Source organism: Homo sapiens (genome assembly GCF_000001405.40).
Source record: "Homo sapiens chromosome 1 unlocalized genomic scaffold, GRCh38.p14 Primary Assembly HSCHR1_CTG8_UNLOCALIZED".
In the NCBI taxonomy this organism is placed as follows: domain Eukaryota; kingdom Metazoa; phylum Chordata; class Mammalia; order Primates; family Hominidae; genus Homo; species Homo sapiens.
In genome coordinates this window covers 17,749-40,745 of record NT_187368.1, presented here as the reverse complement: position 1 = coordinate 40,745, position 22,997 = coordinate 17,749, and the positions used below count along the sequence as shown (strand labels likewise).

The 22,997-nt window shown below is 47.0% G+C and overlaps 1 long non-coding RNA gene and 3 other non-coding genes across 4 annotated transcripts; all 4 read left to right on the top strand.

Annotated features, from left to right (window-relative positions):
* The first annotated feature begins 7,402 nt into the window (after window positions 1-7,402).
* Window positions 7,403-10,545, top strand: LOC440570 (uncharacterized). Its single transcript, NR_135765.1, has 2 exons — window positions 7,403-9,600; window positions 10,181-10,545. It is a non-coding gene; the product is annotated as an uncharacterized LOC440570 (long non-coding RNA).
* On the top strand, window positions 9,040-9,111 carry TRNAE-UUC (transfer RNA glutamic acid (anticodon UUC)). The gene has a single exon. It is a non-coding gene; the product is annotated as a tRNA-Glu (tRNA).
* A 1,372-nt stretch (window positions 10,546-11,917) lies between the features above and the next one.
* Window positions 11,918-11,991, top strand: TRN-GTT26-1 (tRNA-Asn (anticodon GTT) 26-1). Its single transcript has one exon. It is a non-coding gene; the product is annotated as a tRNA-Asn (tRNA).
* A 6,730-nt stretch (window positions 11,992-18,721) lies between these two features.
* On the top strand, window positions 18,722-18,885 carry LOC124905321 (U1 spliceosomal RNA). The gene has a single exon (XR_007068532.1). It is a non-coding gene; the product is annotated as a U1 spliceosomal RNA (small nuclear RNA).
* The last annotated feature ends 4,112 nt before the right edge of the window (window positions 18,886-22,997 follow it).

Genomic DNA, 22,997 nt, shown 5'->3' with positions numbered 1-22,997 from the left:
GTTTTTGAGACGTAGTCTTGTTCTGTCACCCAGGCTGGAGTGCCGTGGCTCAATCTCGGCTCACTGCAACCTCTGTCTCCCAGGTTCAAGCAATGAGAACAGTAAAGAAGCTACAGTTCACATAAAGTGCACAAATCTTTAGTGCAATTTGTTTAGTTTTGATCAATGTTATCACCACCCAGCTCAAGTTATAGAAAATTGCCATCATCTGAGAAAGGCCTGTTAGAGCCCCTGTCCAGGTGATTCCCACCCTGTGTCCTCTTAGTTATCACTATTCTGATGTCTATTCCCACAGGTTACAATTGCCTGTTCTTAAAGTTCACATGAATGAATGTACATATGTTTTGTGTCTGGCCTTTTTCTCCAGTTACATTCATTATACTCATGAGATATATCCACGTAGTTTCATAGATCACTTCTCAATTTTGGGGTTATTGATTTCTTGTGCTGAATATTCTTATAACAGTCTTTGTGTGCACTTGAGATTCATGGAAGTCCTTCAATTGCTGGGTCATGACCTGAGTATAAGTTTAACATCAGTATAAATTGCCAGTCTTCTAGAATGCTTTTTCGCCAGCGATGACAGTTGAAGTGGCACCAAATTCTTGTCAGCATTTGGTGTACTAACTTTGTTAAATGTAGCTATGCTCTCAGACCAGGCTGGCCAACATGGCAAAACCCTGTCTCTACTCAAAATACAAAAATTAGCTGGGCATGGTGGCATGCACCTGTAGTCCCAGCTACTCCGGAGGGGGATGTTGCAGTGAGTCAAGATCGCACCATTGCACTCCAGCTTGCGTGACAGAATGAGACCCTGTCTCAGAAAAAAAAAAAAAGTAGCCATACACTGGTGAGTGGTTAGTGCTATCTCAGTGTGGAATTAATTTGTATTTGCCTAATGAGCAATCCTATGAAGCATATTTTCTTATGGCTTCCAGCATATAAGAAACTCTCCTTTGCAAAGGACTATTCAAATATTTTGCCCTATTTTATTTGGCTTAGCTCTATATTACTGACTTACAAAAGTTCTCTTATATATTCAAGAATTGAGTCTTGTTTTGACGTTTTTTAAATTATACTTTAAGTTTTAAGGTACATGTGCACAACGTGCAGGTTTGTTACATATGTATACATGTGCCATGTTGGTGTGCTGCACCCATTAACTCGTCATTTACATTAGGTATATCTCCTGATGCTATCCCTCCCCCTCCCCCCACCCCACAACAGTCCCCGGTGTGTGATGTTCCCCTTCCTGTGTCCAAGTGTTCTCATTGTTGAATTCCCACCTATGAGTGAGAACATGCGGCGTTTGGTTTTTTGTCCTTGCGATAGTTTGCTGAGAATGATGGTTTCCAGCTTCATCCCTGTCCCTACAAAGGACATGAACTCATCATTTTTTATGGCTGCATAGTATTCCCTGGTGTATATGTGCCACATTTTCTTAATCCAGTCTATCATTGTGGGACATTTGGGTTGGTTCCAAGTCTATGCTATTGTGAATAGTGCCGCAATAAACATACGTGTGCATGTGTCTTTATAGCAGCGTGATTTATAATCCTTTGGGTATATACCCAGTAATGGGATGGCTGGGTCAAATGGTATTTCTAGTTCTAGATCCCTGAGGAATCACCATACTGACTTCCACAATGGTTGAACTAGTTTACATTCCCACCAACAGTGTAAAAGTGTTCCTATTTCTCCACATCCTCCCCAACACCTGTTGCTTCCTGACTTTTTAATGATCACCATTCTAACAGGTGTGAGATGGTATCTCACTGTGGTTTTGATTTGCATTTCCCTGATGGCCACTGATGATGAGGATTTTTTCATGTATCTTTTGGCTGCATAAATGTCTTCTTTTGAGAAGTGTCTGTTCATATCCTTCGCCCACTTGTTGATGGGGTTGTTTGTTCTTTTCTTGTAAATTTGTTTGAGTTCTTTGTAGATTCTGATGAAACTACAGATGAGTAGATTGCAAAAATTTTCTCCCATTCTGTAGGTTGCCTGTTCACTCTAATGACAGTTTCTTTTGCTGTGCAGAAGCCCTTAAGTTTAATTAGATCCCATTTGTCAATTTTGGCTTTTGTTGCCATTGCTTTCGGTGTTTTAGACATGAAGTACTTGCCCATGCCTATGTCCTGAATGGTATTGCCTAGGTTTTCTTCTAGGCTTTTTATGGTTTTAGGTCTGACATTTAAGTCTTTAATCCATCTTGAATTAATTTTTGTATAAGGTGTAAGGAAAGGATCCAGTTTCAGCTTTCAACATATGGCTAGCCAGTTTTCCCAGCACCATTTATTAAATAGGGAATCCTTTCCCCATTTCTTGTTTTTGTCAGGTTTGTCAAAGATCAGATAGTTGTAGATGTGTGGCATTATTTCTGAGGGCTCTGTTCTCCTCCATTGGTCTATATCTCTGTTTTGGTACCAGTACCATGCTGTTTTGGTTACTGTAGCCTTGTAGTATAGTTTGAAGTCAGGTAGCGTGATGCCTCCAGCTTTGTTCTTTTGGCTTAGGATTGACATGGCGATGCGGGCTCTCTTTTGGTTCCATATGAACTTTAAAGTAGTTTTTTCCAATTCTGTGAAGAAAGTCATTGGTAGCTTGATGGGGATGGCATGGAATCTATAAATTACCTTGGGCAGTATGACCATTTTCCTGATAGTGATTCTTCCTACCCATGAGCGTGGAATGTTCTTCCATTTGTTTGTATCCTCTTTTATTTTGTTGAGCAGTGTTTTGTAGTTCTCCTTGAAGAGGTCCTTCACATCCCTTGTAAGTTGGATTCCTAGGTATTTTATTCTCTTTGAAGCAATTGTGAATGGGAGTTCACTCATGATTTGGCTCTCTGTTTGTCTGTTATTGGTGTATAAGAATGCTTGTGATCTTTGCACAAGAATTTTGTATGCTGAGGAGTCATTTTTAAAATAAATATATTGCAAATGAATTTTCCCAGTCAGTGAAAAGTCTGACTGAAAGCTGTCAACTGAAAAATCACACAATTTATAAATTTAGAAGGGAGATTTTATTTTTTATAAATGGTTACAGCCTGCAAGGTGGCCATTCCGACAGACAGGGAGGCATACCCTCTTGCTGCTGAAACCTGAAAAGTACGTTTCCAGGGAGGGGAGGGGGGAACAGGGATTTATGTTGATGTGGTGGGCCACATATACATATTCAACAGGGAATAGGAGGAGCTCTGAATATTCATGAAGGGATCCTGCTGCATGCATGCTGAGTAAACATGCCTGTTACATGCAACCCATGTTCACTTTGGAGTGGAGACAACATTTAAATACGTTATAATTAGGCCCTATGCTTCAAAAGGGGAAGCAGGGGCACAAAGGCAGTCAAGTGTACAGCCTCTGTAAACCGTCCAGAACCCGTCCACAGCCAGTGCTCTCTTATCAAGGGGAAGTTACTGAAATCAGTCCCTTGTCCAATCAAAGCTGTAGTTATGGCTTGTGTAGGGAGGGCTCAGTCAGTTTATGGTAATGGGTGAGCTGCAAGTGCTTCAGCATTGCTTATCTCAAGGCCAGTGCTTGCTTAGCTAGAGAAAAAAAGGAAGAAGAAAAAAACCTGTGGCAATTGGAACATAGTTTACTCTTTAAGTTGAGGGGCGCATGACTCCACCTTGCCTGGCGTGGCCTTAGGTCTCGTTTATCATACCGTATCTTCCTACTGCAAGGAGTCTGTTCTGTCAGCCTTAGGATCTCTATTTTAACAATAATGCTGGTCAGTTGTGTCTAAACCACAAAGGGAGAGAGTATAAGGAGAGGTGTCTGAGATTCCAACTACTGGGCAGGAACTCAGTATTTAAGACTTCTCTGGGGTCTCCTTGGCCAAGAAGCAGTCTGTCCAGTTGGTTGAGTGGCTTTGGATTTTAATTTTAGTTCTCAAAGCATTTAATTTGATGAAATTTTGCCATATTTTTTCTTTATTTTTAAAGCTTGTTATGTTCTATAAGAAATCTTTCTACTCAGGATAGTGAATGTATTCTCTTAATTTTATCTCTCTATGAGTTCCAGCGTTTTAGTTTTAATTTTTAAATTGATGACATCTAAAATTCTACTCCTAACCAAAACATTCCTGGGGGTGACCAAGGACAACTCCAAAAATCTTCCATAAATGGAAGTAAGACTTACTCCTTGAAGAACTTACTGGGATCTCGGCCTGCAGGGCACAGTGGCTTTAGTGCACCTCTGCTCTTAAGACTATTCAGAAATTGTCTTTGTGAACCCATCAGGCTGTTTCAAAATCAGCAATTTAGGGCTTGCTTGCAACATGCAGTTATGCAGCAGCTGTTTTGTGGATCTGGTGAGTGCCTGCACGCATAGTTCCCCGGGAATTTTCTGAATTTGAATTCTCATGGTATTTCAAGTGGCTCAGTTGTCTCTTTCTTTTCTTTTCTTTTTTTTTGAGTCAGAGTCTTGCTCTGTCACCCAGGCTGGAGTGCAGTGGCTGGAGTGCAGTGGCGCGATCTCAGATCACTGCAAGCTCCGCCTCCCGGGTTCACGCCATTCTCCTGCCTCTGCCTCCCCAGTAGCTGGGACTACAGGCACCCGCCACCACGCCCGGCTACTTTTTTGTATTTTTAGTAGAGACGAGGTTTTACCGTGGTCTTCATCTGACCTCGTGATCCGCCCGCCTCGGTCTCCCAAAGTGTTGGGATTACAGGCGTGAGCCACCGCGCCCGGCCAGTTGTCTCTTTCTTTTGCCTACTGCCACACACGTACCACCAAATCCTGCACTCCAAGCTGCTTCTACACCCTGGACTCCCAACCTCCAGTTAGACAATCCACATCTTCCCACACCTGCCTCAGGCTCCATCAGGCTACTGTGCCTCCTGCAGCAACCAGGCCAGGGGGAATCTGGATTCCTATTACACTTCTGAGGAAGGTGGTCAGGGAGTGTGGAGGATGTGGGTGGGAGGGGGTGAGGTTGAGGGCAGGAGTACACTGTGGTCTTCTGTCTTCTACCTCATTGGCCCAGGTGCTGCTCTCCCTCCGGTTGTCTGCTTTCAGCCCTGCCTGGGAAATCAGGCCGGCGCCCTGATCTTCCTGACTCTCATTCTGTGAGGAACCTGAACGGATGAGCCATCGCTCTTGTCCCACACGTTCTGTCCAAAAGGTGCCCTCCTCTCTGCTTGCTCGGGGGCCTGCCCTCTGAGCTCTGGCACTCAGGCTGGGATGCCGCCCAGTACAGAGGCTCTGCAGCCCTGCAGGGGTCTGACTGTTCCACACCAGCAGGATAAAGGCCACAGGGCATGCTGTGGTGGAAAAGCATTCAGAGGTGTGGGCTGAAGGCCTCTCTTTCCACAGTCCCTTTGAAGACACCATGGAAGTAGGCACCCCCTTGACAGACAAGGTGGCCCAAGGCTTGGCTTCACATGCAGGCTCTTGGGTCCCAGCGGGTCCTCTCTGTGCCTGGTATAGCCAACTGCTTCATGCATCTTACCCGGTTTCCTCTCCTCCACAACCCAAGCTCCTCCTCGACCCCCTTGCTCAGCTGTCCTCAGGACAGCAAGATCCCCAGCCCTTGGAAAAGCCCATCTCTAGTGCTTGGGGAGGGAGTTGGGTTCAGGTGGCCTAACCACAGAAGAACAGAGAACCTGAGGCAGGAGGAAATCCCTTCCCTTGCTGGGTCTCTTGGCACAGCCCATCCAGGGGTCTGGGTCAGGGTCCAGGTATACTCTACCCTCCTTGAGGACCTGGGTTTTCAGGCCCCCGAGGTTGGTCAATGTGGAGTCTTTCCCACTGTTCATCTGGGAACTGAAGGAATATCCCATGGGGCCCTCTCTTACTCATTAGAGACACCCAGAACATACTCCATCCAGCAGAAACTGGGTGCAGTGTACCAGACCACTATAATTATAATTGCAGGGTGTGGAGGTCAGATACGTTTTGTGGGTATTTTCTCTCTTTCTGTGGCTTGCTTGCCTTTTCGCTTTCTTAGTGGTATCTTTTGATGAGAAGGTGTGGCTAATGTTGATGAAGTCTCATTTATCATGTCTTTCTTATATATGTATTTTTTCTGTGTCCTGCTTGTTGGTAGGCTAATCTTTGCCTGCCAACAAGTCACAAAGTATCCTTGAAATGCTTTATATCTTTAACTTTTAAGTAATGCGGCTGAAATTACTTTTGTGTGTAGTGTGAGGGAGAATAACATTGTTGGTCTCCCCACATCCATATAGAAGTTCATTAATTGAAATGACTTATTTTCTTTTATTGAACTGCTTTTATTGAAAACCCATTTATTGACCGTATAGCTGTGGATCAATTTCAGGTCTTCTAACTCAGGCTGTTTATCCGTTTGTCACTCCTGATGCCTTGTGTCTAATAGCTTATAGTAAACCTTAAAGTCAGATAGTACAAGTCCTTGTTCTTTTCCACACATTGCAATAAATTTTGAAATAGATAATAACTCATGAAACCATCACACACATCAGGATATGCTGTCACTTCATCCCTTTCTGACATGGTTTGGCCGTGCCCTCACCCAAATCTCAACTTGAATTGTATCTCCCAGAATTCCCATGTGTTGTGGGAGGGACTTAGGAGGAGGTAATTGAATCATGGGGGCGGGTCTTTCCTGTGCTATTCTCCTGATATCGAGTAAGTCTCACTATCTGATGGGTTTCTCAGGGGGTTCTGCTTTGGCTTCTTCCTCATTTTCTCTTGCTGCTGCCTTGTAAGAAGTGCCTTTTGCCTCCCGCCATGATTCTGAGGCCTCCCCAGTCATATGGAAATGTAAGTCCAATTAAACCTCTTTTTGGTCCTGGACTCTGTTATGTATTTGTCAGCAGCATGAAAACGGACTAATACACTCTCATTTCTGAGTGGGACACATGCTGTCACTCACATATGCTGGTTGCTGACTTGTGACGGAAGATTCTCTATTGTACCCTCTGGGGACAATACATCTCCAGTTGCCTGCAGGGAGGATGAACATGCAAAAAATCCACAACACTCAGCAAAGAGTCTGGATTTAGTCCCATTAGTCTGAATGGGACTAATGCCCTTATAAAAGGGACCCTGGGGAGCTCTCTCGCCCTCTTTCTGCCCCCTGAGGATACAATGAGAAGGTGGCAGTCTACAACCAGACCAAAGGTCCTCACTGTAACCCTACCACGTCGGCACCTTGATCTCGGACTTCCAACCTCCAGAACTGTGAGAAATCAATTTCTGTTGTGAATCAGCCACCCAGTTTATGGTACATTGTTATAGAAGCCCGAACTAAGACAGAGATGAAGTCCCGTGCAGGGTCTCTAATTTGCTAAGCTGGTCATCAGGCGGGATATTGCCAGTCAGAAACAGGAAGAGCTGACATTTTGTGTATATGAAAGAAGATAGTGGACAGGCCCATTGTGTCGGCTTTGTCCGCCTTGGCAAACTGGAGACGTAAACTCGATTCACCATCGCCAGCCACGGGAGGACTGGGAGGACCTCCAGAGGAGGTTAGGTCGACTTCATGGTAACTTTAGATCCGGAAACCTCCCAGGATTTTTCTTGTCTTCCCTTTGATCTCTCTTCCACCTACCCAACAGGACAGGACTCGCCGCCTTTCTTTCCCGGCAGAAAGGGGTCCGTTGCGGACAAGACCAAAGTGAGCAGCTGGTTTCCCCTACTTGTCCTTCCGGGCCTGGGCGTCTCGGGAACTCAGGCTGACCCGACACCTAACTCCTGGCGAGTGGGACCACCAGGAGCCTGGAAGAGCGCGCGCACCGAGATGGAAGTTGGGCGCCGGGGTCGAGAACCGCGGTCAAACCCTCTTCTTCCAGGGGCACCGCGCACCTGCCCCCGGGGATGCCGAAGGAAGTGACCCATAAAGCTTCTCTGCAACCGAAAGAGGCCTGAAGCTCCAGGAGGGCCGAGAGGAGCCTCGTTGAGCAAACCCAGCCCTCTGCCTGGCTGGCCCTGGTCAACAGGCTCGGAAGAGGCCGATTTGGAGGACAGAACGGAAGAAAAGACCTAAAGGTTTCGAATCTCATGACGCAGAGATGTTAAAAATCTCCAATCCTAAGGTCCGACTGTGCGGGGGAGCGAGGGGGTCTCAAGCTGGATCGACCCCTGAGCCTTCATCTGGAGAGTCCTCTGCACAAGCTCAGACAGCAGGACAACGCGCATCAGTGGTTCTCAAGAGGGGGCAACTTCGCCCTTACACGCCTCTCCCATCCCCGCTGGGACACTAGGTCACGAATGGGGGAAGCGGGGAGGGAGAATGCTAACCCCCTGGCATGTATCTAGTCAGCGGAGGCGACGGCTGCTGCTAAACACCTTACAATCCACGGGAGGGCCCCTCCCCTACCCCGAAGTAGCTATTCCGCAGAGGTGGAGAGACTCGCGTGTAGCTCAATGCCCACGCACTTAGCCGATGGGAAATCACGAATTGATGACCAGTTGGCTCTTGGATGTGAGGAAAAATCTCCAGAGTCAGAGGGAACTCTCGAAGTTTTGCCCGGAGCAAACGGAAGGGTGGCGTTGCCATCGCCTAAGATGGGAAAATGGCAGGTGTCACAGGTTGCAGGGGAAGGTCGGAGACCAGCTGAGGGCCCCGGAGCCTTCCTGGAAAGAGTTTCCCATCCAGCCCGCCTCGGTTTCCGCATCCGTCTTATTCCTTATGACGTTGAGGGTGCTGGCGTCTGGGTCCTTTATGATGCAGAGGGTGCCCCCGTCTCACCCCGGGCGCCTCCGCGCTCCCGCCTCCTCCTGGCAACCTGGTGCGCGGCTCCGGATCTGGCGACCCACGACCGGCTGGTCACTTGCTGCCACCTCGCAAAGGCGCATCTCTAGTCCAGTGGTGAGCTGCGGCCGGGTCGCTGTAACTCGCTCCAGGACTCGGGACTCGTGGCCTTGGTGTCCCTCGCGGAGCCCTCGGTGTGTCGCCTGCAGGCTCTTTTTTTGAAGAAAGCAGGGAGGGAATGGCCTTGTGAGAGACTCCAGGAGCAAAGAGCGACCCTCACAAGGCCCAAGTCCTCCCAGAGCTCAGGGAAGCTGTGGCTTCTGACGGAAGAAGGGAGAGAAAGCTCCCTCCTGTGTGTCCCTGGTGGTCTAGTGGCTAGGATTCGGCGCTTTCACCGCTGCGGCCCGGGTTCGATTCCCGGTCAGGGAATCGTTTTACACTGGCCGCCCTCCCGCAGGAATCTTCCTTCACTACGCTGTCAGCCGGCCTGCTCCAAGAGCCAGAAGCAGAACAGTCTCCTCAGCGGGGTCAAAGACGGGCGAAGGAGGGCAAGTGCTTGTGGACCACCTCTCACGACACACCGTTCCTATTTATCTCCGTGTCCGTCATCCGCGGGAGCAGCTTTAGAGAGCGACTGAGCATCTCGGTCCGGTGTACACAGCCCGGCAGAGATGCCAGCCCCCGTGGAGCTGCACCCAATAAGCCCACCTTCTTTCCCGTCGCCACCCCGGAGACGCCCATCGGGCTGAGCTGCGAATAACTAAGAGAGAGGCCAAGCCAAGTCGTGGCGTTTGTGGCAGCCCCGGACACGGGCACCAGCCAGTCAGCGGAGCCTCCTCACCTCCGTTGCCAGCGAAGGCGCTCGTTAGGCCTTGGGAAGAGGCGACCGGAGGCGATGCCCGCGAATTTGTTAGGGGGGTAAGTAGCGGGTGAGGTCCTCGACGGCGGTCCCGTTTGCTGATTGAGCGGTAGAGGGAGGCGATGTTCGCTGACCCAACAAGGACAGCAGGTGGAGTAGGCACAGATGGAAAACTGCTGCCGGTGCCCTAAGCAGAAGGCAGGTGGAAAAATCAGCACTAGGACGTCGAAGCGATGGTACCACAGTCAAATCCCACGACGTCTACACTCTACCAAGCACTTGCGCACGCTCCCCCTTTTCCATTCAGTACTCCCAAGAGGGGTTCGGAAGAACCCCGAGTCCACTGTAAGCTCAGGGGAGAGCGGGAGCCAGGGAGGTGAAGTGCGCAGACTCGGCAGAGGCGGCGGGCAGAACCGCTGGGGGGTGAGAGGGCGCGGTGGCTGCGGGGCGGGAGCCGCTGCTGAGAGGCGGCCTGGGTTGTCTTGTGGGGTGACTGTCGGTGGAATCTTTGGTGGAGAGTGGTTTGGAAGAATGGCGAGGGGCGGCAGTGGGGAGGGTGGTGACCCTGAGCGACCCGCCAGGGCGAGGAGGCTGTGCTGTCCCTGCAGGCCATGTGCTCATTTCCACTTTACCTGGCAGGGGAGAGACCGTGGTCACGAAGGGGGTTCTCCCAGAGTGAAGCTTCTTCATCGCACTCTAGAGTTGCTGATTCCTGTGATTTCCTCCATGTGGGAAACGGTGTTTGTGCTAGAAGAGGCTGCGCTCTTTACCTGACATAAGGGGGTTCAAGACTGACATCGCCTCACGCCTACCCGAAAACGTTTACATGGCTTGTCTCTTTTTTTTTCTGTCCTAAAGTCGCCTCATCTTCACATCCCCTCATTTTTTCTTCCACACTCGAGAGTGTCTCTCTCTCTCATTAAAAGCTCCACCAAATATTTGAAATATCTCAACCAGAAAGACTGCAATAAATACATTATTTCATTCGTGGAAGCTACAGACCAGCTAGGTTGAGAGTTGCTTGATATTTTCTGCTAAACGGTGAGGCATAGAGCACTTGGAAGGTTTCTCTTTGGGCCACTGTTTGTGTACTCTTGGGTTTCCTTCTTTTCCCCAGACAGTATGGCGCTGTGGGGCCAGCGGTAAACCCTGCTTTCCGGCTTTCTGGCTGCAGATAAAGGCCGCAGCTGCTGCAGGAATCAAAAGCAAACCAAAAGACACGTGGGTTCGCCCCAGTGGGTCCAAGATAGAGTCTGACTGTACCAGGATTCGGATTAGAACAGAGGTTGCTGCAGGCACAATGCAGACTACTAACCACTAGAGAATCCCAAGGCGCCCCACACCTACTGCCCATCGTTTTGCTTCCCCACCCCTCTATTATTTATTTATATATATTTTTTGAGAGACAGAATTTCGCATTGTTGCCCAGGCTGGAGGTCAGTGGCACGATCTCGGCTCACTGCTACCTCCGCCTCTTAGGTTCAAGCGATTCTCCTGTCTCAGCCTCCTGAGTAGCTGAGACTACAAGCGTGCGCCACCACGCCCAGCTAATTTTTGTATTTGTAGTAGAGACGGGCTTTCACCATGTTGGCCCCGCTGGTCTCGAACTCCTGACTTCAAGTGAGTGATCCAGCCACCTCGGCCTCCCAAGTGCTGGGATTACAGGCGTGAGCCACTGCCCCTGGTCCCCCGATTTTATTTTTATTAATGTAAAAACATTATGCGATTTTTACTTCTTTATTCTTGGGCAGCTACAGGTTCTTGTGATTTTCTCTCACATCTTCTCCCCATTTCCCCCTCTCCATTCTGATACATGTCCCATCTTCTCTGCATCCAGCCGGTGCCCTCTGCACGGGCATCCTGGGCTGTCCCATTGTCTAGTCCTGGTCTCCCCTGCTTCTCCCTCCTCCTTTTCACGTTTTCCCTTTTGACTCCCCTGCCTCTTTCCCGCTCCCGCCCCACCGACCCCATCTACTGAAGCCGAGTTGAGTGAAGGGAGAGCAAGCGGAGCAGATGACTGCATGAAGGCGGCGCAAAAGAACAGAAAGAGCTACCGTGAGAGCCGTCGGGGAGTTCAGCTTCCCTTGGGCCCCACTTGGCTCAGGCTGGGGTCGCAGATCCAGGCATTTCCAGAGGCACTGGCTTCTGAAGCAGGCGAGGGTGAACGCAGGGTGAAGGCCATTCGGCCGCCCTTCTGGCTTCAGAGTCACGCAATGCACGCGTTTCTAACGTGCAGCAAGACGATTAGTCGACTCAGCCTCTCCGGTTTTCCGAAGCTTTGTAGTCTGCACAGTTGTCCCGCAGAAAGCGAATGGCAACCCCTAGGGTTTTGTGATTGCTTAATGTATATAGAGATGAAAATAGACAATTGACGTTGTCTCTGTGGCGCAGTCGGTTAGCGCGTTCGGCTGTTAACCGGAAGGTTGGTGGTTCGAGACCACCCAAGGACGTGATTTTAAATGTTGGTGGTTGTGGCCGGGTGCAGTGCCTCACGCCTATTAATCCCAACACTTTGATAGGCCGACGTAGGGGAAGCCTCCACTGAGCTCAGAAGTTCAAGACCAGTGAGAATCCCATCTCATTTAAAAAAAAAAAAAATTGCAGCTGTATCTATCTCCTCAGACCTATCACTGTATTTAAAAGTGAAAGACTGTTCCCTTGTGTCTTGTGCATCCCATGAGGACAGACAGCAGAAGGTCCCCCTTCGAGCCTCCTAGAAAATAAGATCTCTGCAGCACAAACTAGCTTGTATGTATGGGAAACAAAGTATTTGAAGACACAAACTTCAAAAATTCTGCCCTGCTTTCCACAAAAATTAACCCATCACAGTCTGCCTTCAAGTGGCATCATACCTCTTCACATGACTCCTCTCCCTGCCTTTATGCTAGTGTCATGCATTTTACTTTACACCTGTTATAAACCTTACAATCCATCTCTATTACTTTTGTTTCAAGAGTCAGATGTGTTTTTGTTTGTTTGTTTTTGGGTTTTTTTGTTGTTGGTGGTGGTGTTTTTAAGACGAGTCTTACTCTATCGGACAGGCTGGAGTGCAGTGGCACAGTCTTGGCTTACGGCAACCTCTGCTTTCTGGATTCGAGTCATTCTTCTGACTCAGACTCCTGAGTAGCAGAGATTACAAGCTTGGGCCACCACATCTGACTAATTTTTGAATTTTTCGTAGAGAGGAAGGTTCACCATATTGGCCAGGCTGGTCTCGAACTCCTGACCTCAAGTGATCCGCCTTCCTCGGCCTCCCAAAGTGCCGGGATTCCAGGCGTGAGCCATCGTGCCCGGCTAAACAGTCAGATGTTAAAATTACATATTTGCCTTTGTAGATGTCATTTCTAGTGTCTTTTTTTTTTCATCCAGATTTTCATCCCGTGTCAGTTTCCTTCTGCCTGGAGGACTCCTTTAACTTGTCTATTAGGTGTCTTAAACTTGCACTATCATTCACTGATGCTCTGTTCATTAAAGAAAAAAAAAATTGTTGGCCGGGTGCGGTGGCTCACGTCTGTAATCCCAGCAATTTGGGAGGCCGAGGCGGGTGGATCAGGAGGTCAGGAGATCCAGACCATCCTGGCTAACACAGTGAAACCCCGTCTCTACTAAGAATACAAAAAATTAGCTGGCTGTGGTGGTGGGCGCCTGTAGTCCCAGCTACTCAGGAGGCTGAGGTGGGAGCATGGTGTGAACCCAGGAGTCGGAGCTTGGAACCTGTCAAAAGGCATTCTTAGCCTTAAAAGAAAAGCCAGGGACATCCCTTGCCTCAGGACTCTCGGACTTAGAAAAACCTTTCACCCTCTATGTGGATGAATAACAAGGGACAGCTTTGGATTTTCTAACTCAAAGACTGAGGAATTACTTTGGACCAGTGGCTTATTTCTCTAAACAGCTAGACCAGGTGGCAGCTGGGTGACCAGGAAGCTTGAGATCTGTGGCTACCATCACTCTATTGTTAGAAAAAACCACTAAGTTTACCTTGGGACAACAATTAGATGCCATACCACCCCACCCCCACCCCCTGCCACCCCATGAAGTACAGTACAGAGGGTCCTAGAGGCAAAAGTACACCAATGGCTAACAGAGGGCCAGTTACTTAAATATCAGACCCTTCTGCTTGACACCCGAGATGTTACCCTGAAAATATGCTGATTTTTAAACCCTGCTACTCTGTTGCTGCACCTCACGTCTCAAGAAAGAGCTCCCAAACTCATTGACTCCTGTGTGGAAACCACGGAAGAGCTCTACTCTAGAAGGCCCAACCTTGAAGACAAGCTCTTGTCTAACCCAAATGTTGAGTGCTTTAGAGATGGAAATAGCTATATTCATGAGGGAGTAAGAAAGGAAGCTTAGCCAACAAGAAATCATTGAGGCCAAGGGTTTACCTTCTCAGACTTCTGCTCAAAAAGCAGAATTAGCTGCTCTAATTAGGGCCTTCCAACCATGAAAAGACTTAAGCTGGGCACGGTGGCTCACCCCTGTAATCCCAGCACTTTGGGAGGCCAAGGTGGGTGGATCACCTGAGGTTGGGAGTTCGAGACCGGCCTAGCCAACATGGCGAAACCCCGTCTCTACTAAAAATACAAAAATTAGCCAGGTGTGGTGGGGGGTGCCTGTAATCCCAGCTACTTGGGAGGCTGGGACATGAGAATCCCCGAGTTTGCAGTGAGCTGAGATCATGCCACTGCACTCCAGCCTGGGCGACACAGCAAGACTCCGTTTCAAAAAAAGAAGAAGAAAACCAAAACCCTCAAGAGTCAATGTGTTGACTGACTCTAAATGTGGGTTCCTGGTGCTCCATGCTCATGCAGCCATAGGGAAGGAAAGGGAACTATCAAAAGCCAAGGGATGCCCCATACAACTTTACTCAGATCTTGGAACTTTTAGATGCTGTCCAACTCCCAAAGAAATAACAATTACTCACTGCAGGGGACACCAGAAGGGAGACACTTTTATTATTAGAGGAAATTCCCTGGTGGAAAGAGCAGCTAAGGCCACAACTAAGGAAACCCTGGTATTTCAAGCTGCTGCGCTACTACCAGGTACTGCATCCGTGTCAGTGACACCATACTATACCCCTAAGGAAATTAAAGGGACTGAGTAAAAGGCTTCCAGGGAGACCCTCTGGATGGTTGGTAGAAAAGAACAAACTCTATTCCTGAGGCTGACAGATGGGAAATAATTAAACATTTTCATGATTCCTCACATTTGGGACGGGATTTTCCATTCAAATTAGTTTCCTAAATATTCTTCGGGAAGGGACTGTTCTAAACTATAAAAAGGGTTACCACTCAGGAAGCCACCCCATACCCCGATCCCTGCTTAAACCTGTACAACACCAAGGAACATACCATGGTGAAGACTGGCAGACAGACTTAACCCAGATGCCACCTTACAGGGAACTACAAGATTTGCTAGTATTTATAGGCACTTTCAACAGGTGGATAGAAGCTTTCCCCACAAGGACAGGAAAAGTACTGGAAGTGTCTAAATTCTTAAAGAAATCATTCCAAGATTTGGATTACCAAAAGGTTTGCAAGGTGACAACTGACCTCACTTCACAGCTAAGGTGACCCAGTGAGGTCATGCCTCAGCCTTAGGCATTACCTATCTTCATTCCTCATGGAGATCTCAGTCTTCAAATAACATGGAAAGCCAATCGTGACATTAGCAAAAGTCTTTCAGTTTGGGGGCTTGCCTGCCCTGCTTCACTATCATTGTTTCCTTGGGTTTCCCAGGAATGTACACGTGTGAGACTGCCGGCCTGCTTATAGATCCGTTTCCCTGCAAGGAAACAGGAATATGTTGCCTGTGGCTTCCAGAGTTGGAGATACATGTAGTTGCACCACTGAGGGCTAACATTTAATTTTGGAATCAAGTGATGCATTCAGACTGGTTGCTATCATTCTGTGGTATATATTTAGTGAACACATTCATGATTGAGTTTCCTGCTTTTAGCTGGAGCAAGAAAGTTTTATAATTGTGATTTGTATGAAAAAATCATAGGCAAGGGAATGGATGTAAAATAAACTTTATTGTCAGAGGTTTCTAAAGGCTCATCCTTCAAGGAAAATGGACATATGCTGAAGAGCTGATAAACTGTCTACAGCAGTGTTATTCTAACCTAATCTTGATTCCAAGTTCTTGCCATTTTCCTCCAGCTGCTGTTGACTCCAGTTATATATAGGATGGGGGAAAGGGGATTATCTATGAATGTAGGCATCACTTTCTCTTGGGCAGTTATCACATTGGCAGACTGAAGGGATGTGATTTCTACAATCAAACTATCCATTTGGAGTACAAATCTGGAGTGGCTGTAAAATTCGGTTCTCAGAGATGAACTTGCAGATTCGGACTTTCAATTGTTCTGTTGTTTTAGTTTTTCTCATCAACTGGGGAACTGTTTGTGACTAAGCTTTGTTAAAAGTAGAGAAGAGCTTTTCATAGTTCCAACATTAGTTGTTACCTGAAACAAACAAAAACACACACAGAGACAATTAAACAGTAATCTTTGGTGAGGTCTTGCTGATACCTGAGGCTGGAGTGAGAGCTGAGTGGTGATACAGCTCATGTGAGTGATCCAGATTGCGCACTCCTTATGAGACTGTAACTGATGCCTGATGACCTGAGGTGGAACAGTTTCATCTGGAAAACATCCACCACCCCCTTCCATGGAAAAATTGTCTTCCATGAAACCAGTCCCTGGTGACAAAAAGGTTGAGGACAGCCAAAAAGGCTGCTTTAAATGATAACCTTCCCCAAAACTAAATTACCCCTGTAAAATGGATGAAAGGCCACCAAGTTAGAAGGATGAAAGGGGCCTGATTTCTACTAAGATGTATGCCTCGTTAAATAATTACCAGCCATTATTCCAGAAGTCACAAGATTGGCAGCTTCCCCAATTACTGCTGTGAAGAACATCACTATTGTAGAACCTAAGATTGGCCTCTTGAGATGTCTTTTCAGGCTTTTGCATTTCTGACTGCTGGAAGGCACCATCTGGCCCGAAAATCAACCAGTCCCTTAGCCCCCACCCAGAAGCTGACTCCATGCAGGAGGACCATTTTCCACGCCCCTGTGATTTCATCCCCAACAATCAGCACCACGCAAGCCCTAGCCCCCTCCCCACCAAACTATCTTTGAAAAACCCCTTACCTCCAAGCCTTCAGTGAGATTGCTTTGAGTAATAACTCTGTCTCCCACATGTCGTGGCTGGCCTGTGTCAATGAAACTCTTGCCTGCAGTGCCATGGTCTCCATGAATTGAATTTTTGTGTACATTGGTCAGGAAGAACCCATCAGGCGGTTACATCTGCAGGATGGTGCCAGTTCTTTCCACAAAGGCTGGTCAGATACCCAGAAAGCATTTCTCCACTACTACCTGGACAATGTGTCTCCCTGTCAATCTCCAGGGAATGGGGCCTGGATCAAGTATTTAGTATTCAGCAGTTACTACACTGTCACCTAATCCCTCATTTTCAATATTTTGCCATGCTTCCAGTGGCCTAACTGGCCACCATGCCACAGAATCTTTACTTTAGGGTCTCCAAGGAGAACTCTCCACTCGATGTTTTGTGATTTGAGCAATGGAATAGAATCTGATACTGGTGGGCTGGGGGAGGTCCCTGGACACTGGTGGGATCTCGACCCCAGCCGTGGTGTCCAGGCTCTTGACACCATCGCGAGAACAAAGTCAAAGATGAGTCAGCAGATAGTGAAAGAAGAGATTTATTGCAAAGCAAAAAGTACACACTCAAGAAAGGGGAGCTTGGGCATACCCAAGAGAGAATAATGGGTTCTGGGGTTTCATCTTGATGGGTTTCTTTAACCAAGGAGTGGAATGTTCACGAAAATTCCTGGGTAAAGGTGGAGATTTCTTGGAACTGTGGTGCCATTTGTACATCAAACACTGGTCTCAGAACTGTCATGGCACTGGCGGGTGTGTGATTTAGTATGTTAATGAGCATATAATGAGGGCCTAGGTAAAACCTCCATCAAATCCAGCACCACGTTGGGTCCACTCAGCCTTAGCCAGCTTGGTCCACACCCTGGTTTTTCAGCGTCTTAACAGCCCACAGCCTCAAGTCATGTAAATCTGCTGCCTAGAATTTGTTATCCTGTGACCACCCTGTAGTATTCCTGTCTGAAATCTACTTGTAAATATTCAAATGGTCTTTCACTTGGGCATTCCAACTTTGCTTACTTCACAGTGTTTCCTGCGTAATATATAAGAAAAGATGATCCAGACATTTGTTAAACATCTCAAATAAGATGTAGCCCAGGTATTTGTGTCAAATTTGGATTATTTTGGTTTCGTCTTTGCAGAATATAAAAAACTAACATGAGGTAAGCACTAAGGTGTGGAGATGGCTGTGCAAGAGATGACAAAGTCCAGCACCACGCTTGAGAGTGTCCAATCATCTCTTCTGGGACAGCATATTTTTCTACAATACGGATTTTTGCAAAAAAACAACATCAAAAAAAAAAAAAACCTACAAGATTCATGAAACTGGACAACTGTCTTTATAACATTACCAGTGATAAAACCAGTAAGGAAGGCTGGTTTGCAGTCATCTGAGCAGCCTCTTTACTTTCATAAATATGGTTTCTCTCTGATATTAAACGGCTTCCAATTGCAAGCGGAATGCTGCATCACAAGGATAAGGATGTGAAGAGAACCGGTTTCTTTTGTAATCCGAAACATTCTAGTCTGCGAATTAAAAGCCATTATTTGAAGAAGGATGCCCCGGCTCCATCTGGCCACCGAAAGGTTGCTCCTTAACACAGGCTAAGGACCAGCTTCTTTGGGAGAGAACAGACGCAGGGGCGGGAGGGAAAAAGGGAGAGGCAGACGTCACTTCCCCTTGGCGGCTCTGGCAGCAGATTGGTCGGTTGAGTGGCAGAAAGGCAGACGGGGACTGGGCAAGGCACTGTCGGTGACATCACGGACAGGGCGACTTCTATGTAGATGAGGCAGCGCAGAGGCTGCTGCTTCGCCACTTGCTGCTTCACCACGAAGGAGTTCCCGTGCCCTGGGAGCGGGTTCAGGACCGCTGATCGGAAGTGAGAATCCCAGCTGTGTGTCAGGGCTGGAAAGGGCTCGGGAGTGCGCGGGGCAAGTGACCGTGTGTGTAAAGAGTGAGGCGTATGAGGCTGTGTCGGGGCAGAGGCCCAAGCTCTCATACTTACCTGGCAGGGGAGATACCATGATCACGAAGGTGGTTTTCCCAGGGCGAGGCTTATCCATTGCACTCCGGATGTGCTGACCCCTGCGATTTCCCCAAATGTGGGAAACTCGACTGCATAATTTGTGGTAGTGGGGGACTGCGTTCGCGCTTTCCCCTGACTTTCTGGAGTTTCAAAAACAGACTGTACGCCAAGGGTCATATCTTTTCTTGTATTGGTTTGTGTCTTGGTTGGCGTCTTAGGTGTTAATCCTACAGTAGACGGTTGGGGAATAGGAAGTAACATGTGGCCTGCACGCCATAGGAGAAAAAGCGAGCATCAGCCGTATCGGCTTTGTAACACAAATTAGCTATCGTGAAGTCCGCTCAGCTCTTCCCTTTCTACCCTGGCTGCTTTTTGCAGGGATTGGTCCGTGGTCTCCAGTCTCTTGGGTTCTCACCCTGTGTGAAAATCTTCCTGTTTTTCCCTACCCCCCAAGTCACCTCTTACACAGCCTCTGCTTCCAAACGCAGCCCCCACAGGAGTTTGTAGGATTTCTGTGCTAGCGGGGAATGTGTTCTCACCTCATAGAGCCAGGTAGAAATTATGCAGATGGGCGCTGTTCTCTGGGAAGAAAGCAGGGCCTTTGGGGCTCTCAGTGTCCCCGTTGGGTTGTAGACAAAACACGCTTACTTTGCGTAGGGGAACGGCTCTGCCGGCCCCCAGGTGCCCTAGCGCATATGCACGGAGGCCCGCAGGTCAGAACCGCAGTCTCACCTGTCTTGGCGGAAATGCCCTGCGATCCTCCCGGAGATAGAAGGCGGGAAGTTTTATGAGGAGCCGGTCCAGTTTCCCTACTATCTCCTGCAGTTCATATATCTAGTGTTTCTTCAGACTTTAAGCGACTGCTTCATGTTTGATGTCTCACTCCCACATCCTACATCCACTGCCAGGCAACTTTCTAGATAGCACCGTGACCCATCCTTCCCACCCCCAAGAAGCCCTTTCCTATTTCTGGTGCCAGTGTCCTCCCCAGTCCCTCTTTCTTCAGGCCCTCGCTTATCACCTTCATGGACAGAAAATACTTAGCTCTCTCTCAACCTGAGGTTTACACCTGACACGCGTCAGTGCCCTGGCAAATTCCTTAATACCCCTTCTCAAATGGCACTGTAAATCATCTCTTTTTAACTCCCAGAACTATCTAATTGGTTTTGTCCCTGCACTACATGAATACTAGTATTCCACTACAGAGGAAAACCCCAGGCCTAGCGATAGCGGTTCTGGGCATTGTGCCAGCCTCTCCCAGGGTATGTTTTTTGACCTCACCTACTTTTGATCAGCTGAGGTCAGGAGTTCAAGACCAGCCTGACCAACATGGCAAAACTCCGTCTCTACTAAAAACACATACACACGCACAATAATAATAATAACAATAATAATAATAATGATAATAATAATAATTGCCGGGCGCAGTGGTGTGTGTCTGTAATCCCAACTACTCGGGAGGCTGAGGCAGGAGAATCACTTGAACCCGGGAGGTGGAGGTTACTGTGAGCCGAGATCGCGCCATTGCACCGCAGCCTGGGCAACAGAGTAAGACTCTGTCTCAAAAAAAGAAAAAAAATTAGTGCATCTGAGACATATTATTGGAGACAGTAGAATCCTGCGTCCAACAGGCACTTGGTGCAGATCTGAACCCATTGAGCTATTGGCTCATGTTCCCTATGTTCTATTAAGTATCATGAGCAGAAATTGAGCCCTTTGGCTTTTACCCACTGAGTATGGCTATAGGACAGGTCTCTCTCTCTCTCTCTCTCTCTCTCTTTCTCTCTCATTCTTTGCATCATTATTTTTTGCCATCAGTGTGGGTTTTTGGTTTTGAGGTTATGAAGTGAATTTCTGGGGACAATCTCTGTTGGGTCGTGTTGACAAGGATCCAGTCCCTGTTTGGTGATACATGACAGCTAATCTGGTCTGTGAGTCTTCTTTATTGTCTATTTATTGTCCTGAGAATAATGGCATTTCCTGATATTTGAGACTGCAGCAATGATAAGTTGTTCAGATCTTGTCTTTCCAATGTTTGGTAAACATTTTATAGGCCCAATTGTTGTCAATATCTGCAAGAGTGGCATCTCTGTTACAAGAGTGATCTTACTACTCGATGTCCCCCCTCCCACCCAACTTCGTTTCCTAGGGGCTCTTGGCTTTAACGAATTTACTGTATCTAAAAGACATCTTAGTACAGGAAGAAAACTGAATCTGTAGCATGTAAGGAGCAGTTTTATTTGATTGGTATATTCAGGTTTCTAACCAGCTGAAAAATTCAAATACATGCCCTTTAAGGATTAAGTTTAAACCACACTACAGAAAGAGAAAAGATTTATATGATCACATATAAGCAATGGAATCAGCAATATGAGTACTTTTCACAACTATACAAATCAAATTTAATAATCTCCAGAACATTAAGGAAGTTCAGCCCTTAATGGAAATGAATGAAAAGCAATTATTCACCCACTGTTACATGCCCTGGAAAGAGAATGTCCTGCCAGACTCAAAAGAGTATCACAGTGTTACTCAGATTTTCAGCAATGAAGGCCCTCCAAGGATCTAATGATGTTCATCTTTTCAGTTTATTTCCTTCACTGATAAACATTGTTAATAGATACCATTGCCTCTGTTTTCACTTTAAGTGATGTTACTTAGCACAATTCGTTTCTTTAGAATGCACCCTAGTTTGGTGGAAGGAATTTTCCTGCTTTATAAATATAGGATATTTTCTCATGAAACAAATTGGCATACTCTTTCAGTGAAGTGAATAGACAAATTAGATCTCTACAATTGTAAAGGAGTCACTGCCCCAATTATCTTAGGAACAATAATAATCACTTATATAAAATTAAAATAAGAAAATTAAGCCAGGTATGGTGGCTCATAGCTACAGTCCCAGCACTTTAAGAGTTGGAGACCAGCCTGGGCAACACAGTGAAACCCCTGTCTCTACAAATTTTTAAGTATTAGCTAATTTTTTAAAGTTGGCCGGGCATGATAATGCATGACTGTAATCTCAGGCTGCAGTGAACTATGATTGTGCCACTGCCCTCCAGCCTGAGTGACAGAATGAGACTCCCAACTCAAAAAAAAAAAAAAAAGGAAAGAAAATTAAGAATTTGTTGAAAATTGTTTTACTACAATGCTAGGCTGCATGTCTTGCACCTGTACTCCCAGCAACTCAACAGGCTGAGGCGGAAGGATTGCTTTAGGCCAGCGGTTGCAGACCAGCCTGGGGAACAGGGCAAGACCTCATCTCTAAAAAAACACAAGGCAAGCTGAGCCAGGAGGATTGCCTGAGCCCAGAAGTTCCAAGTTGGTCAGCTATGATTGCCCCGCTGCACTCTAGCCTGGATAACAGAGCAAGACCCTGTGCCTTATTTTTTAATTTATGTTATTTTTTTACTACTTATGCTTATTTATCTATTTATTTATTTTTGAGACAGAGTCTTGCTCTGTAGCCCAGGCTAGAGTGCAGTGGTGCCATCTCAGCTCACTGCAAGCTCTGCCTCCCAGGTTGAAGCTATTTCCCTGCCTCAGCCTCCAGAGTAGCTGGGATTACAGGCGCACGCCACCACGCCCAGCTAATTTTTATATGTTTAGTAGAGACAGGGTTTCATCATGTTTGCCAGGCTAGTCTCAAACTCCTGACCTCAAGTGATGCACCTGTCTCGGCCTTCCAAAGTGCTGGGATTACAGGTGTGAGCCACCTCGCCCAGGCTCCTTATGCTTGAAATGTGAGGTTTCATTAGGGAAAAATTTTCTTGTTGAATTTCTAACACGAAAAAATAAGAGATTTAGCTGTAGATTAAATTAATGGTCCTGGTAGTTTGGTACAATAAAATAAATGAAGTTGATAGCAGAGAGGAATCTTTGATGCTTTTGAACAATTTAAATAATGTAATATTTATTATATAAAGACATGAAAAAGTTCATTACATTATTATTATATGCATTTATTTATTTATTTATTTTGAGATGTAGTCTCACTCTGTCGCCTAAGCTAGAGTGCAGTGGTGCAATCTTGGCTCACTGCAACCTCTGCTTCCCGGGTTCAAGCAATTCTCCTGTCTCAGCCTCCTGAGTAGCTGGGATTACAGGCGCACACCACCACACCTGGCTAATTTTTGTATTTTTAGTAGACACGGGGTTTCACCATGTTGGTCAGGCTGGTCTTGAACTCCTGACCTCATGATCCTCCTGCTATGGCTTCCCAAAGTGCTGGGGTTACAGGCATGAGC